This window comes from Homo sapiens, chromosome 8 (genome assembly GCF_000001405.40).
Source record: "Homo sapiens chromosome 8, GRCh38.p14 Primary Assembly".
In the NCBI taxonomy this organism is placed as follows: domain Eukaryota; kingdom Metazoa; phylum Chordata; class Mammalia; order Primates; family Hominidae; genus Homo; species Homo sapiens.
In genome coordinates this window covers 48,432,066-48,450,279 of record NC_000008.11, presented here as the reverse complement: position 1 = coordinate 48,450,279, position 18,214 = coordinate 48,432,066, and the positions used below count along the sequence as shown (strand labels likewise).

General features: G+C 46.7%; 1 long non-coding RNA gene across 3 annotated transcripts in view, besides 1 other annotated feature; it reads right to left on the bottom strand.

Moving 5' to 3' along the window:
* LOC105375821 (uncharacterized) overlaps positions 1 to 18,214 on the bottom strand; it is a 127,805-nt gene that overhangs the window by 24,315 nt on the left and 85,276 nt on the right. The window lies entirely within an intron of this gene.
* Positions 15,022 to 15,521: an enhancer, noted in NCBI's record as "H3K4me1 hESC enhancer chr8:49347319-49347818 (GRCh37/hg19 assembly coordinates)". NCBI's record gives its function as "activates a minimal SCP1, AML or CMV promoter by ChIP-STARR-seq in naive H9 embryonic stem cells {active_cell/tissue: H9 hESC(naive)}" and the evidence as "EXISTENCE:reporter gene assay evidence [ECO:0000049][PMID:30033119]".

The following is an 18,214-nucleotide window of genomic DNA, read 5'->3' as shown; positions in this document are numbered from 1 at the left end:
TCCCAATGGGAGGGCAACCCCTGACTTAAACACCTGAGAATGTCTCTAGGACACAGGGTGAATGTGCTCTGCAAGATAATGAATGAGAACAAAGAATTAAGACAAATACAGAATAGCAACTTTATCTTATTCAAAAGATAGATACTATTTTCATTGCTACAGATCTTAATGGGTCCAGCAACCATCCATTAAACAATCTGTTAAGACTTAAGGCAGAACTGTCATTAATCTGAGTTTTCTAATGAAATTGTTTGTACAGAGCATAAATACCAATCTTCAAATTACAATACGGAGCATAAAAGGGGGCCTGAGGATTTCCGCAAGGCAGAGCTGACCGCTGAGCTCTGGGGTGCTGGGATAGAGACCCCCAACACCCAAGCCTGCCTTAATTTCCAGACGCAGCTTCCTTCTTAATAGTCTATTCCTAACATTCTTGCCTTCTCTAGATTTCTGAGGTTTTAAAATGCTGCAAATACTCATTTTCCTGTTGAAATCTTTCACACGTCTTATAGTACGTAACCCCCACATTAAAAACAAACAAAAGAAAACACCAGAAAGTTGGGGATGGAGTTGTGAGGCAGCCCGGCACAGGCCTGGGCTGTCCCAGGGGTCTGAGCAGATGGCCATCCAGCAGGGTGGAAGGTGGAAGCTTAGCCTCCGAGAGGGGATTGAGTAAATAGTAAACAAGGAGCTAGGTTCTTCATGGTAGCCAGGCGGGGTGGTGCCAGCCTTTCACTGTGGGGAGAGAGCCTCACAAATGCAGAAAAGGGAAGGGCTGGAATGAGTGAGTGCTGTGGGCCTGAAATGGGAGGCATTGGTGTGAACTCGTGGTTTCCAATTTAACTTGATAAATGTGGAAAGAAGTATAGATGTGAGTATGTATAAATGTGTGTATGTGTGTAGAGATATAGAGATAGATGATGAAATATATTTCCTCATGCTGTCCACAAAAGGTACCTGGGGACAAGGGCCCCTTGGTAACAAAGGCCACACCTACGTTGCAGATCTTGGCTTCCAAATAGCATTTTTCATTACCACAAGGAAAAATGCCTGGTTCAGGGTTAGCAGGGAAAGCACAAGATGGCCCTGGAGTATCCTGATGTGGCGGAAAATAAGAACATGCTCAAACAATAATGGGCACATGTGCAGGAAACACAGAAGCCAGGCTGATGAGGCTGTCAGTGGCCAAATCCAGGGTAATTTGGACATCAAGACAATAATGATAGCAATGCATTATAACTCATTGAATAAAACAGGAATTCATGAGAATGCACAAAAATAATGTTTTGAAACCATACACACGTATGTACACATGTGCATATATGAAAGAGAAACAACTACCTCTTCGTAGAATGCCAACTGATAAATGCAGAAAAAATAATGACATTTGAAAAACAGCTCTCAGCAGTCCTCTATTCTGGCAAGAAACATCAATAGATGTTAAAACTTAAGAAAGCAAATGGATGAGGAATGAGACCTTAAATAGTTTCAACTTTATCTCCACACCAAATAGTTACTGAATGATTGCAAATGGAATCAAAAGTAACTTTATAGCAGAGGAGCCTGGCTACTAAGATAGCACCTTAATCATGTGATCAAAGTCAGTGTCACAAGCCATGAGAGAAATCAGCATCAATTTGCCAACTGATAAGAGGTAACAGAACACACTACCACACACGTGACAATTCAGTGAAAATACGTGGAAACCAGCTCTAATCTAGAGGAGACACTGGACTGCACCAAGTGGAGGGATATTCTACAAAATTTCGAGGCAGCAATTTTCAACAATCTCAAGGTCATAATATTTAAGGAAAGACTGAGAAACTGGTCCAGATTGAAGAAGATTAAAGATATACAACAAGTGGGTGCAACATGTGATCTTGAGTCAGGGCCTTTTCCTGTAAGGTTTATGACAGGGAAAATTGGAGAAATTTGAATGGGATCTTTGTACTATTCTTACAACTTTTCTGTAAGTTAGAAGTTATTTCTAAACTAAAAGTTTAAAAAAAAATAAGTATCTTGTCTCTTTTATTGTTGCCTGTGACCAATAAAAATCATTTTCTTAATTTTTGCAATCTAGCATCTGACAAAGGTCTAATATCCAGAATCTACAAGAAACTTAAATGAATTTACAAGAAAAAAACATCAAAAAGTGGGTAAAGGACATGAACAGACACTTCTCAAAAGAAGACATTTATGCAGCCAACAAACATGAAAAAAAGCTCCACATCACTGCATTAGAGAAATGCAAATCAAAACCACAGTGAGATACCATCTCATGGCAGTCAGAATAGCTAGTGTTAAAAAGTCAAAAAACAACAGATGCTGGTGAGGCTGTGGAGAGATAGGAATGCTTTTACACTGTTGGTGGGAATATAAATTAGTTCAACCATTGTGGAAGACAGTATGGCTATTCCTTAAAGACCTAGAACCAGAAATACAATTTGATCCAGCAACCTCACTACAGGGTATATACCCAAAGGAATATAAATCATTCTATTATAAAGATACATACACACATATGTTCAATGCAGCACTATTCACAATAGCAAAGACATGAAATCAGCCCAAATGCCCATCAATGATAGACTGGATAAAGAAAATGTGGTACATATACACCATGGAATACTATGCAGCCATAAAAAAAAACAAGATCACGTCCTTTGCAGGGACATGGATGGAGCTGGAAGCCATTATCCTCAGCAAGCTAATGCATGAACAGAAAACCAAACACTGCATGTTCTCACTTATAAGTGGGAGCTGAACAATGAGAACACATGGACACAGGGAGGGGAACAGTGCACACTGGGACCTTTTTTGGGGGGAAGGGGAGGGAGAGCATCAGGATAAAGAGCTAATGCACGTGGGGTTTAATACCTATATGATGGGTTGATAGGTGCAGCAGACCACTATGGCACACATTTACCTTTGTAACAAACATGCATATCCTGCATGTGGATACCGGAACTTAAAATAAAATAAAATAAAATTTAAAAGAAGGAAAAAGAAAAAATTATTTTCGTGCATGTAAACAAGTGAAAATTAGACCTCATAAATGTGTATGTATATGTGGTATACCTGGATGATAGATAAATGACAGATAGATAGGACTTAATTTTCAGTTAAATATATTAATATATGTGCATAACATTACACATACATCACATATATGACTTCGCTCTCAGGTGTATCTTTTACATAAGAACCTCAAAAGTCTTTGGAACAGAAATATAAGCTCTTCCAGACTTTAGATTAATTTAAACTTCAATCTCCATTGTAACATTCCAAAACTCCTGTTGAGCAGTAAATTGGAGTTGCAAAAGTTGTATTTCAAGAAGCCCTGAGTCACAACTTTTCAAAAAGTGTGGCTCCTGTTAAGCTGAGGTAGGGAACTCTGGGGGTTTATGCAAGGACGATCTCTAACTTGAAAAAGGAAACTGTATCAGAACATCCTTAGTTCTCCTCTGACTTTGTTTTAAGGACTGCACTCCTCCGTTGCTAATGTCTCTAGCTCACTGGGCTCTTTGACTCTAACGCTGCTGCCCTAGGCAGGTGGGCAGGCCTCTGAGATGCTTCAGGTTGTTTGCATGAGGGCTGAGCCAGGGTCCCACAGCACAGGGTGTCCCATGCCCTCCCCGGCTCCAGCAACAAGGGACATGTTCTATGGGTGAGCGGGGCCCACGGGGGCCATAGGAGCTGGTCAGAACCAGGCAACACTCCCTGCAGGCTCCTGGGAGAGTCACTGGCCCAATCTCCTTCGTTACAGACCCTCTCATAGAGGGTCTTCCATAACCCATCTTCCTACCCCATCAACCTTCACAAGAATCACTTCTGAAACACTGAAGACCTGACTGACACCTCAAAGCATGTTGGTAAACAAACAAATCAATGTTAACTATTTTCATGACTAACCTGAAGGAACAAAAGGACTAAAGAACATGACCCAAATTACCAGCCATAACTACTTTACCAAAGATATGTTTTAAAATCTTCATTTGTACACTCTCTCTGCTCCCAAACCCCTGCTCACACCTCATTAGAAGGTGAGAACAGCCAGCAAAGACGGCTTCTCACTTTTTCTCCATCAGAAGCTTAGCAGTCAGCCTAGGCAACATAACATGAGCCATCTTTACAAAAACAAACGAACAAACAATTAGCTGGATGTGGTGGCTCAAGCCTGTGGTCCCAGCTACTCAGGAGGCTGAGACGGGAGGATTGCTTGGGCCCAAGAGGTTGAGGCTGCAGTGAGCTATGATCCTGGCCACCTGATGTCTGGTGAGAAACAGAATGAGCATGAGGCTGGCTAATAAAGGGGGGATCCCCTGCAAAGCTCTCACATGGGAGGACATGCTAGTGACATCTTGGTACAGCAAGGACCATGGCCCACCTGAGACAAAGTGGGTGGCTGGACACCTGGCCATCCCCTGCCTGGGACTAATGTGTACACAGATGCCTGCTTACAAGGACCAGTGCAGCACCTTAGCCCCCACCCCCAAGAAAGGGATTTGTGATCCCAGTAATATTTATCATCAGGGTTTTTTGTTCTTTCTTAAAATACCTTGTTCTAAATCCTGAGTACTGGTGTCCACTGTGAACGAACCAGGGCCAGTGATTAAGGAATGAAAAGAAACAAGGTCCACTGTGCTTATGCCCAGGTTTGTTTACCAGATCCCCTTAGCTACTCAGCAAACCTGCAGATTTTGCAATCCCGTATTAAGAGGCTTGAATGAAGTCTTTATATGCAATTCAATCATTGCAGCCTTGGGTCTAGTCCATGGGCCCGGATATTTATTTTCACATCTTGACCTGAGGTTGGCTCATGTTAGTGGCTGTGTCTGTGATCTGTCCTCAGGGCCCTCCTCTGTGTAACTTATCACACCCTGTGACGCAGCAAAGAGGCAGAGCGGGTACCAACATTCGCGTGAAAACCAAAACTCAGTCTCACACAGAGGCCTTTACACAAAACCCAGGACCCTGCATCTTAACAAAAGGTGTCCATCTCCCAGCAAATGGTGTGAGGAAAGAAGGCCCCTCCCTGAGGGTCCCAGCAGCCTGGGGTGGGGTGGGGATTCAGCTGCATCCTGGGATTGCTCTTGAAGACCCTGCTCCCACTAGGGTCTGGCCTGAATACGAGAAGGAATGCACTCACCAGGGTGTCTGCCACCCCTGCCGACCGGCCAACTCCCTCCCGTCTCTCTCCTTCTTTGCTTGTTTTTTGTCCAGTTGGGCATTTGCTGCCAGCCTTTTTCTGTTAACGTGCCCCTGTTTCAGGGTAAATTTAAAGGTCACAGATCAGCCTCTGGAGGGTAGGTTTCTTTGCTGCGGGTGCACAGACCCCCTCCAGGGAGCAGGAGGTACAGCAGGAGGCTGTGTGCCAGCCTGGCCCCTGCTCACACCTCATTAGACGGTGAGAATGGCCAGGAAAGACAGCTTCTCACTTTTTCTCCATCAGAAGCTTAGCAGTCAGCCTGGGCAACATAACATGAACCATCTTTACGTAAACAAACAGAGAATTAGCTGGGCATGGTGGTGTCAGCCTATGGTCCCAGCTACTCAGGAGGCTGAGGCAGGAGGATTGCTTGAGCCCAGGAGGTTGAGACTGCAGTGAGCTATTATCACACCACTGCACTCCAGCCTGGGCAACAGAGCAAGACCCTGTCTCTTAAAAAAAATTAATATTTTTTAAAATTTTTTTTTAAAAAAGAAGCATATCAGTGACAAAGTAACGCATGGACTGGTGGCAGGAGGAGCCTAGCAGCAAACAGTGGCCATCCAGGCCCCCGGAATGAAGAGACACACTGTCAGCATTGCAAATGTAGTATCAAAAATACATTTATTCTCCCTGTAAGCAATCTTACCCACTCATGGCTTTATTTGCTATCCACATATTGAGAACTCCCAAATATGTGACCATTGGTCATGTCTGAACACTGGGCTCCAGACCTGCAGACACCAGCATGCACTGGACGTTTAGCTGTCTGTCCCAAGGGGCCTCAGACTCACCATAGCCCCTCCCTGCCCAAAGGATCCCTGACACCTTTCTGTAGGATCCCAACATAAGGAGCCCGAGCTGAGGCCTCCCATGACCTCTACCCTCACCTCTATGTCCAGTCTATCACTAAGCCTCCTGAATGGGTGGGCATCTGAGGAAAGCCCACCAGGCCCAGGTTTCCTGCCCCGCACCCCAAGAGGCCTCCTGGTCATCCCCTGTCATCCTCACTCTGACCTGCCTTTTCCTTGTCTACCCTGCAGCCTTCAGGGTCGTCAAGTGCAGTCCTGGCCAGACTTACTCCCTCCCGGGTCCTCTGTTGCTTGTGACTCAGTCTGCTGCCCTCCCTCACCAGCCCAAGACCCTCAACTGGCCTTTATACCCAGCCAAGAGAGCCATGCATCCACCCTCCCAGTCTGAAAGGCCTCTTGTTCCTGGACTTCTGGACACCAATGAGTTCACACCTAACTCGGCCTTCAGACTTCAGCTCAAAGGACACCTCCTGAGGGAGAAGCTCCTCTTGGCCCTGTCCTCCCCCAACCCCAAATCTGACTCCATTTAGTACCCTCACCAATACCACTCTCAGGTGCTTCTAGCACACTATTCCTCAAACCATCTACCAAGTTTGCAGTTAGATGTTTAATGTTCAGCTGGTTTGATTACTGTCTCTCCCACCAGCTGCCTTCCACTACACAATTTTGCCCAACTCTATGTCCCTAATCCACAAAAAGTATGTGAGGTACAGCACATATATTCTGTGCTCAGTAAGTGTTTGTTAAATAAACACATGCATGAATGGTACAAAGATGCTGAAGAAAGAACTCAAGACATGCTGGATTTTAAGTCATCATTTTAGGTTAATATCATCTTAGGTTTGAGTCAATGTGAAAAAAATACTAAAACTATTCTACAGATTAGAAAGCAAATGGAATCGGTGTATAATGTGTTATTTTCATTGTCATGATTCGTTCTAGCTGATTTTTGGTTTTTTCCCTGGGGAAGGTTTGCGTTGCGGTGCTGTTGCCCAGGGTTGGCCCATGTGTATGGTGGGGAAGCGTGGACTACCAACCGTCGGGAGCTTGGGGGAGGCATGTTCATTTCTGTGCATTCCCCCCTGCTCCTCTAGAGTGTAGGCACAGCGTGGGAGTTACAAATAATCTATAAAATGCCACTAAATGTGTCCTTTCACTATTCAGAAAGTCCAAAAGGAAAGAGAAACCAGTTGAATTTCATGGCCCTGAGACACTCGTGGGCTTCTATGACTTTGCATAATGCTGGCTGATAGTTGGTACAGCCCATCCCAACTCGTGGCCTAACACGATTTTTTGACTTTATGGTGGTGTGAAAGCAACACGCATGTAGCACTCAAAGCACTCAAATTGTGCTTTGAATATCCATGAAAACATTCTGTGTTTCACCTTCAGTACAATTTCAATAAATTACAAGAGATAGACAACACTTTTTTCTAAAACAGGCTTTGTGTTAGCTGATGTTGCCAAACTGTGGGCTAATGCAAGTGTTCTGAGCGTGGTTAAGGCAGCCTGGGCTAAGCTGTAATGTTCAGTGTGGTGGGTACATTAAATGCACTGTCAATGGTACTTCCAACTGACCATGGGTTTGCTGGGACATAACCCCATTGAAAGTCAAGGTGCATCTGACGGGTTGGCCGTGCCTCACAAAGCCATTTTTCAGAAATGTTCAGTGGACTGAATGTGCACAGATGCTGGGCACTCACTCCACAAACATGACCATCATTCTCCTCCACTCCAGCCTTTCACCTCTTCCTCCCGAGAGCCATTAGGCACATTTTACAAACTTGAGAAATGATTGAGTCCATGTTCTCTGATCTTTTGGCTGCCCTAGGTAAATTCCTGATGAAAAGCTGGGCCATCCTTGACGAGCTCCTGAGACTGGATGGGGTCAGAGCCACATCCACAGCATGGCCTGCTCCAGGAAGTCTCCCCACACCGCCCCCTTAGAGTTCAACAGGAATGTGATGGGATCAAGGGAGGAATTCTAGAGGGGTTGTGTAAAAGTTGTGTAGTATGGAAGAGATGCAAGCAATTCCACTGGGGATTGCTTTCGGCTATGCTAGGACCACTTAAACCAAACAGGGGGTCTTCACACACGACAGCCAGTCTGCAGGCAGCAGCTCCCGCCCTCAAAGTCAGAGCGTCCCAAGCTCCTCTGTCTCCTGTGCCGTCACCCTGATAGCCACTCTCATCCTCATGAACAAGCCGGCCCCACCTGGCCATCAGCGCTGAACCCCTCCACTCCCCCATTCCAGGAGGCAAGGCAGGGAGGAAGGGAAAAAGCACATGCCGCCAGCCTCCACTCCCCTTTGAAGGAGCTTCCCCATCCCGCTTCAACTGACCACTGCCACATAACATGGCCACAAGTGTCCTGCAGCCACTTGTCAGCAAGGCCAGCTGAGAAATGGAGCCTTTCCCACTGAGCTCATTGCCACTCACAATGAGATTGAAGTTCTGTTAAGAGAAGGATGTTAGATGAGCACAGTCCTTGCCTCTCAAGTCAACACGAAGATACATATGCATGGACACACACATACACACACAACACACACACACACACACATGCACACATATATACACATATAACACAGACATATACATGAATACACACATATGCACACATATATAAACACAACACACACATAAACACTAACACACATATATGCATACACATGACATATACACATATATACATGTAAGAATATACACATACACACAGATACAAATACACATACACACAGAGATAAACACACATACAGACACACGCAGATACATACACACAGATACACACACACACACACACATACACACATGCACACAAACGTGTACATACATACAACATAGCATCTGGCATCAACTCAGTGGTCCAAGTTAGATTCTGATGAGTCCAGAATTGTGCATCTGATCTTCAAAAGAATCTACTGCCCTCCACCTATTTCAAAAGGCCAAACTTCATGATTCTGTACTAATTTCAGTCAGTTATGCTGCACATAGAACTTCTCAGTGATTTGCATGATCAGAGGACATTCCATTTAGTCAAGGGTCCATGTGTTATTCTTAAGAGCTTTAAGAGCAATCCTCAAAACAAGTATGAAAAATAAAAGCATCCAACGGGAATTGTGCTTGGTGTGACTAAACAATCCATTGAAAGCTATGAATACCACAACTCAAGAACACATGATAAGCATGAAGAGTGTTTCCCTACAACTGTGCCTAACGCTACTGCTGCCCTTCGGAGGGCAACAGGGTGCAACAGAGAGCAACAGGCCACAGTCAGAGCAGAGCTGGGTTCAGATCCCGCCTCTGCCCCTCAGTAACTCCACAGCCCAGCTGAATCTCCTTTTCTGTATGTGCAGAATGTGGACGGTGCGTAAGGACAGAGGTTGTATACGTAAAGAAAAGGCTCAGATAACGTAAATAGTGTTTGTTAATGCCATTGGAAAATTCGGTTTTCTATCCTTGTTCAGACTAGATTAATTAATCAGTTGGAAAAAAATTAAAGCATAGCACGTTACCCTGCAGCTGGGGAAAAGCAGCACATGAAAGACAGACATGTTTTAAGGGTTTTGGATACAGACTATTTAGCCACAATACTAGCAGTACAATGTGGGGGGTCATATTTTATTGCTAAGAAAGAGAGATAGTTATTTCTCAAGGTGAGAATGGTAAGTGTTTCATTTTCCCAGGGACTACTTTGGAGAAACCAATGGGAAGGCATTCCATTCTGTTTTCCCTAGTCCCTAGACAGGCGGCCTGTCTTGGATTAACACCACTGTGCCTCCACGCAGGTCTGGGTGGAGGGGCTGAGCTGGAATTCCCAGGGCTGCTGTCTGGAACACAGAGCCTGAGGAACCATCCGGGCCATTTCCTGGCCTGGACACTGAGCCAAGTAGCAGGAGGCAGAGGGAGGTGAAAGCAAAACCCAGCCCCAAGGTTGTGTCCCTTTTCAAAGCTGCCCACCTCATGTTGGTTCTTTCTTGCGGGTCATACTAAGTAAGGACCTGCCACAATTTGGAACTTGACTTGGAACCACTGTCATCCTGACTCTTCATTTTAAAAAGTCATTCTCCTCAAAAATAAATGAGTAAAACGTAAAAACAAATTCATTCTTCACTTTCAAAAGAGCTTATAAAATCAAAACCCTGGGGGTGGTTTTGGATACAGGTTTCCAGCTTCTAAGAACACAGAGTGTCTTACACTTTCCCAAGTTTCCCTTCCTCACAGGGGACCCCAGGCCTGAAATGATCTCCTTTCCCATTTAACTAATGCTTTCCTTGCTTCTTGGGGAGTCGTTTCTTGGTGACTGCCGAACTCTGCAGTGGAGCCGCGGGCAGCAAGCCCTTCTCACACTGCAAGAACACACAAGGACAAAGGATGCTAGTCGGAGAAACGCATTTATTTTTACAGTATCACTTCCTCACCCCCCCGAATGATAACTGTTTGGATTACTTATTATGAACTTGGAGGGGGGAGAAACCTCAAATCTAATTTGGTTTTCACTATTTGCACCACTATTTGTTTATCTTTCATTCATTACTGAGCTTGGGAAATTATAAAAAGAATCCGGCCATTCATCCACCCTGGGTCTAGAAGTTTTAATCTGCTGCCTTTCAGCTGCAGTCCTTCTTTCTCAGCTACTTCCATATTGAGATAGAAAGGACCCATAAGGCTTCTGTTTCTCTATAAATACTCTAACATGCAGGGGGGAAGCCACTAAGTAAAACACACAGAAAATCATTCTGCAAATATGACAGAGCCATTTAGCCACAGAGCAGGCTGGCCTCTGCGGACGTTGGGGTCGTCCATGCTTGACCAGAGACGGACCAGAGACTGATGGGAATCCTGGTCCAAGGAGGCTGAGGGAGCAAGACCTTGTTGTGGTTCAAACGCCACTCCATTCGTCTCCTAGAACATGTTGAGTAGTCCTCGAGGGCAGGGGAAACAGTGAGAAAGGTGACCTGGGCCCAGGAAGGAGAAGGTGAAGGCAGGCAGGAGGTGGAGAAACCATTCCCAGGGCTTGCACAGCTCCCAGGAATGCAGCCGAGTTTGGGAGTGCAGGAAATTGAGCACCAGGCCTGTGGTCAGCTGGGTCAGCCCTGGAAACTCAGGCCAGGGTGGCTGCAATCCCACTCTGGCTTGGGGCAGGTGTGTCCTGCATCTGTCCCACCTGCCGGGGCTCCTGCCAGCCATATCCTGTTCCCACAGGGAGCACACAGTGGGTCAGTACCCTCGTGCTCCAGGCACCCCATCTCCCCTCCAGCACCAGCGGGGAGCCCTCCTAGATGTCTTGGCAGCATCATAGCCTCATGTCCTGCCTTCGCAACTTATCTCCAATTTATCCTTTCTACCCAACCCAAGTCACCAGCTCCTTCAAAGGATGTCTGAAATGTCCCAGCTCTTTCCATGTCCACAGCTGCCTGCCCATCTCAGGGCCTCACTTCATCAGGCCTGGAGGGCAGCATGAGCGGTGAAGGAACGCAGGCCTCACAGCGATCACAGCAAACAGAAAGCAGCGCCATTTACCAGGTGTCACTGTGTGCCAGCCTCGGCCGGGGCTACTCCCAACCCATTCACAGAGAATGAAACAAGACCACTGCACCCTTCTCCAGGCCACAGCAATGTGTCATGTCACGTGTCACAAGGAAGCAAGTTCAGGCTGGGTAGAAGCTTCACGAAGAAGGCCTGAGCTCTTCCGGGGGAGGTGCCAGGCTCTTCACAACTGACCTGCTTCCTCCAAACCAGGCCGGGCCCTCGTTTAGATACCACTAGTGGTAAATTTGGAATTTCACCAATCAATCTTTGCAAAACAAGCTTGTGTGCCGTGCTGTGTTTTGAAAAGCAAAATGGAGACAGGATGGGCTTTTGTGATCTTGCATGCACGTGGCCTGCATAACACTCTCAGTTATGGAGAGCTGGTGGGGTCCAAGAACCCAGCTGTGGCATACACAGGGCTCTAACTGCAAGAGAAGAGGAACCTTGGAAAGAGGGCCGTCTGTGTGTCTGTGTGTGTGTTTTCCTGGCAAAGCTTCTTGTTTTTACATGAGGGTTTTATTCATACTTGGACTATTTGGAATTTGATATTTAATTAAAAGTTGCTATTTGGGCAATCCTAAAGATAGAAAATCAAACACATGCAGAAACTGCAATAATTACATGTGTGATCTCATTTTAAGCACAAACCATTGTTGCTATTCTTATAAATTTTTCTGCACATTCCTCGCAGTTGAACATGGGCTCTATCCCCGGAACTGCAGGGGAACAGAAGGCGCTGGATGAGGAATCACCTGACCCAGGTCTACCCTGACTCTCCTTCAAAGCATGTATTTCGAATAAGCATCTGAGCTTCTGAGGGTTGGCTCCATCTCTCAACGGGGAGGGCAGGCAAATGTCACTGCATTTCCTACCTGCAGAACTACTGCCATCAGCCATGGAAACTTTGGATGTAGAAACACTTTCAGTCCCGACTTTATTTCTCCACTTCCAGTTCCTCCTCAGCCAAGGGCAGACCTGCAGACAGTCCACCCATCCAACAAAGACCCTGAGACCCATCAGGAGTGAAGGTTTAGGCCCCCCTAAGTGTTTGTGAAGAAAGATAAAAAGTAAAATAAAACTGGGAAATGGCCAGGCCCAGTGGCTCATGCCTGTAGTCCCAGCACTTTGGAAGGCCGAGGCAGATGGATCATGAGGTCAGGAGTCTGAAACCAGCAGGTTGAAACCCTGTCTCTACTAAAAATACAAAACATTAGCCAGGCGTGGTGGTGGGCACGAGCAGCCTCCCAGCTGCTCGGGAGGCTGAGGCAGGAGAATCACCTGAACCCGGGAGGTGGAGGTTGCAGTGAGCCAAGATCATGCCATTGCACTCCAGCCCAGGTGACAGTGCAAGACTTTGTCTCAAAAAAAAAAAAAAAAAAAAAAAAACTGGGAAATACAAGGTCAACAGTGAAGCAAGAAGAGAAAGTAAAACCTCAGTGGCCCAAGGCCTGTATTCTAACACCTCCCAAGTGACTGCAACATTCCCAAGCCCAGGAGAAGGCCCCCAATGGTCTAAACAAGCGCCCCTATCGTTTTTAGACACACGTACAAGGCACCCTCTGTTGTGTGTGGCACTGAGGTGTTAGAGCCAGCCAGGAGGAGAACAAAGAACTCTCAGGAGCGGGCACAAGCACCCCACACCCCCAGCAGCTCAGAGCAGTGAGGCAGACATTCACTACACAGAAAAGCACAGAGACCTGTCGCACTAGCAGAAAGCCTTCTTTCCTGCACCATCTCCAGCTAAAACACAGCACAGTAAAATTGATGTAGACAATGACAACCTGGGACAGGAGAAAATGGATGAATTATGTCCTGGAAACTTTGCGTAAGACTGCAGGAAATTGGAAAGTATATTTCAAAAAGATTGTCACATTTAAATGCCTCTATTACAAAGGGTTAAAATCTCCACCATCCAAAAAAATCACTTTCCTGGAAGAGTCCATTCATTATGATTCTGGATAACTGGTATTTTATTTGGCAATTCCTCCCTTTGTTCTACACTGAGGAAAAGCTGAAAAATTCTAACTATGATTTTTCTTTGTGCCTCAAAATCTACTTGTCAGTCTTCAGATTTTTGGAAGTTGATTTAGGTTCCAGTCCCCAAGATAGGCTAGAACCAATATTTATTGAATCTTTACTGTGAGCCTAGACTGTACCAAATATGTTACAGCAACTGTCTCACTCAGCACTCAGAGCTCCTCCGTGGGGCGGGTGCTGGTATGAGGCCCAGGAGATGGACGAGGAAACTGAAGCCTGAGGAGGTGAATTAAATAATGAAAGCAGAACAAGAACCATGTCAGGATCCGAAGCTGTGTCCCTCTGGCTCTTGAACCCAAGTATCCAACTGCTCTGAAGGTGGGAAGGAGAGGAGACCAGCACAGAGGGCCCAGGTAACTTAACAACAAATCGGCTCTCACGAGAAAGTCAGGTTGGCTATATAACCAAATCCCAGGCAACTCCTCTCTCAGCCAGCACTCAGAGATTCATTAGGGCCCTGTTAACAGTAGTCCTTGGTGCCCCATCTGATTCCAGCAACAGCTTTGGGTCCCTTCAGCAAAAGACAGCACTGTGCAGAAGAGGGGACTCCTCTCACTGGGTTCTAAAATGGGAAAACAGAGAGCAAGGGGAGGCAAAAGGCACTCATGTTTAGCCATGATCCACGTCTTACTTCATCATAGGTCTCCTGTTAAATCACCTTTTTTTGACATAAATTTAAGGGATACAAGCGCAGATTTGTTACATGGATATACTGCACAGTGGTGAAGTCCAGACTTTTAGGGAAAACATCACCCTAACAGTGAAGGTTGTACTTACTAAGTAATTTCTCATCCCTCACTCCACCCTCCCATCCTTCCCCATCTGCAGTGTCTAATGTGTACCTGCATGTGTACACATTAGTGAGCACCCACTTATGAGTGAGAACACTTGATATTTGACTGACTTGTTTCACTTAAGCTAATGGCCTCCAGTTCAATCCATGTTGCTGCAAAAAACATGATTTCATTCTTTTTATGGCTGAATAGTATTCCATTGTGTGTATATACCACGCTTTCTTTGTCCAAAGTTGGACACACTGAAGTTGACTCTGTACCTTTGCTGGTGTAAAGAGTGCTGTGATAAACACACCAGTGCAGGTGTCTTTCTGACATAATGATTTATTTTCCTCTGAGTAGATACTCAGTAGTGGGGCTGCTGGATCAAATGGTAGTTCTACATATACATTCTGTATGTAGAAAATACCAAAGAATTCTTAAGAAAGCTACTAGATCTAATAAGTGAATTCAACAAATTTGCAGGGTATAAAAATTTTTTTTTTTTTTTTTTTGAGACGGAGTCTCGCTCTGTCGCCCAGGCCGGACTGCGGACTGCAGTGGCGCAATCTCGGCTCACTGCAAGCTCCGCTTCCCGGGTTCACGCCATTCTCCTGCCTCAGCCTCCCGAGTAGCTGGGACTACAGCAGGGTATAAAATTAACACACAAAAAGCAGTTGTATTGAGAAATCTGTCTACTGTTTTCCATAGAGGCTGTACAATTTTCATTCCAACCACTTGTTAGCTGAGAGCTGTCGGGGGTAGGAGTAGCCTCAGTGTTTCAGCAGGCATCTGTCAGAGACCCCCTGAAAAGGGGCTCAGCCACCACTGTCAGCTCCTGCATGCCCCAGCACCATCCCTGCAGCTGTCCACTGCCACCCTGGGCCCTGGACCCCTCACGGGGAGAAAACACAGAAATCACAGGAACCCTCACAAATGCCATGCACAGCCATCCCAACTCCTCCAAGAGCAGGCAACGCTCAGCCTGAGAAGCTGGCCCTGGAGGAATTTAAGTGTGGGCTTTCAGCTATTTCTAGTTTTTATTTGTTTCTGGAAAGGAGGGTGAAAAAGAAAGGGAGGAGTTGAAAGGGGGACACCAAAAGGCCTCCTTTCTATTGTTCCTTGTCATTTGAAACTCATTACTTGCCTGCTAGACTAATGATCCTGCCAGGAGTCCCTGGCGGGCATCCGAGAGAGCCCGCAGTGTCCTCTGAGCCCCAGATCTGGCCCTTGGGGCTCTCAGCAACCACCCAGGCTCCTCTATCTGCCCCAGGGCCACCTGCTTCTCACCTTGATTTCTCTATACTGATCCGAGTAGAAGTAAGCTGAGCTGCTGACATTTATCAACCTTACTTAGACTGAGGGGCCCAAGGAACACCACAGGAGTTAAAGGGAGGTGAAGGCAGAGGGGAGTCCAAACTGGGTAGAAGGTCTTTTACGCTCTCACAACCCTGGGGCAATGCAGAGTGCAACAGTGGCCAGCACTGTTGGGGAAGACAGGGCCATTAGCATTAAGTTATTCACAGAAAAGCTGGATGGCTTGATATCACTATCTGGCTTCAGGCAGGCAAGACAGAAGTAGAGACAAGAGTGCCAGCCTCAGAGACTTCTGGTGCCATGCCGTCCCCACACCCCACACACTGATGTGGCTGGGAGGGTTTCCTCCTTCAGTATGTGAGTAGTATTTCCATGTCTGGGGCTGTGCTAGTACTTGGACGGTCCTCAGCCCTTTCTTCCCACATGGGTGCCTTTCTAACGTTGGGCAACCCACAGTGATTTAACCTCAGAGCCTCTCCAGCTGCAATGGAGCCAACCTCAGAAACCCACCAGCCTAGGAGGAAATGGCGGAGTATCGTCTGGGCACACAGGGAGTCGTCGGTTCTCACCATAGATTTTATATTATTTATTCTTACAATCTAATAGTAATCTGCTCTGCTGGCCAGAGAGTTTGAGCTGCCCCAACAGATTTTCAACAAAAGTATTAGTAAAAGAGGGAACAAGCTTGTTCTTTGATACTCTAGAAAGAAAACCAGGTGCACTGAGTAGAAGTACCAAGTTCTGAGTATTTTTTTAGAAGTTGTAATGTTTATCATTTTTAGCTGCTTGTAAAGAGAATGTGATGTCTTGGCAGAGAGAACCCTTCTCCAGAAGCACTGCCTTGCTTTGTCATGAAGAGTAATCCTTCGTGCCTCAGTCTCCCATGCATTCCATTTGGGGAAGAGTGTGGAGGCTGTCCCACCCTGCCAGCACTAGAGCAGGGACAAAGACAGACAGGCAGCTATGGTTTTAGCCTCCTCCACCAGCCCAAGCCAGAGGACGAGCTGGCAAGATGCTGCGAAGTTTCCTTCAATGTTCTGTTCCACAATTTGGCAGTTGATGCTGACGTATAATGCGGCTGCCTCCCTCCCTGAGGTTCCTCCAACAGGAACACCGAGTTCCTGACTCCACACTTCCCTCTGTTCTCTTCCTTCTGTTCTGAGCATCAGCTGTGGCTCTTCTAGTAAAAGGTACCTAAGGCGTTCATGAGTATATCTAGGGGTAAGCAGAGGTCACCTACCTTAAGTCTACGCAAGACTGATTAGCATCCAGTCTCCATGTTTTGTGCATGGCCAACACTCTCACTAAGATTTCAGAGACTCACCTGAGGTGAGCGGCTCATATTCTCCTGCCTCTGGCTCCCATGAGTGTGAACTATTTAGTGATCAGCACACAGTGTGACTCAGTCCTCTTAATTATTGACCATCAAGAAAAAAAAAGAAACTCAAAGACATATTCAGGTGAGGAGAGGAGGCAGTCATATCATACCATAAAGCTCTGCCTGGGACAAGCCTGTTTCCAAGCCAGCAGGCACAGCTGCACCCAGGCCATAGCCCCTCTGAATGTGCCACCCCTCTCCTCCGCCCTCTTGCCTCTCCCCATCATTGGCAAAGTGCTGTTCATCCCCAGTGCAAAGCAGTTTGGCTATGTCATGTCGACCTAGCTCAGCCCTCGTTCCTTGAGCAAACACAGCAAGCACATATCCCGAGAGGGTACTGCTGGGGCTTCCTCACAGTGGTGGGAGCCAGGCAGCAGACAGGTGGCTTGTCTACTAGGTCACGATGAGGCAAAGGACAGAAGTGAAAGAGCAGGGGCATTGGTGTTGCCAGGGCTGAGAGTTGCAGTCCTGGAAGACTTCCTGGATAAGGGGACATCAGTGCAGAGCCAGGATGTTTCCTGGAGGAAGAGCGTTCCAGATGGGGGAGATAGCATGTGCGAAACATAGAGGCAGGGACAGTGGCAGCACAGGACAGGGGTAGGGTGGTTGGCATAGGAAGGGAAGGAGCAAGGAATAGGGCAAAGAGGCAGGAAGGACCCAGGCCATCAGGCACACAGGCTACTGGAGACTGCCTCTTGCTCAGCATGAGACAGAGAGTGGCTAGCAGCAGTTGAGCTGAGCGTGACATGCTGTAAGAGCCCTCTGTCAGTTTTCAGAGATACAAGGTGTGAGCTGAGGGAAGGGGAGACCAGGCCGGGGGCTTGCAGGGAGGCCAGTGAGAAATGATGGCAGCCTGGGGAGCTAGGCAGAGCTGGATGTGGTGAGAAAGGCTGGCTTCTGCACGTACTTTGAAGGGGAAGCTGATCGAATGTGTGATGCACTGGGAGAGCAGCATGGAAGGAAGAGATGAGTCAAGCATGACTTCAGCTTCGGGTGGCCAAGCATCATCCTGCCCTCCTCCTCCAGGAAGCCCATCCAGGCAGCTCTCTGAACAAAGGTGGTGCCTCTTCAGGAAGAGCTAGAGTGTGAGCAGCTGCTGTAAAGGACGGGTCCCCACTGTCTGTCTTTGGGCTCCTCTTCTCTCCTCTTCCCTAAG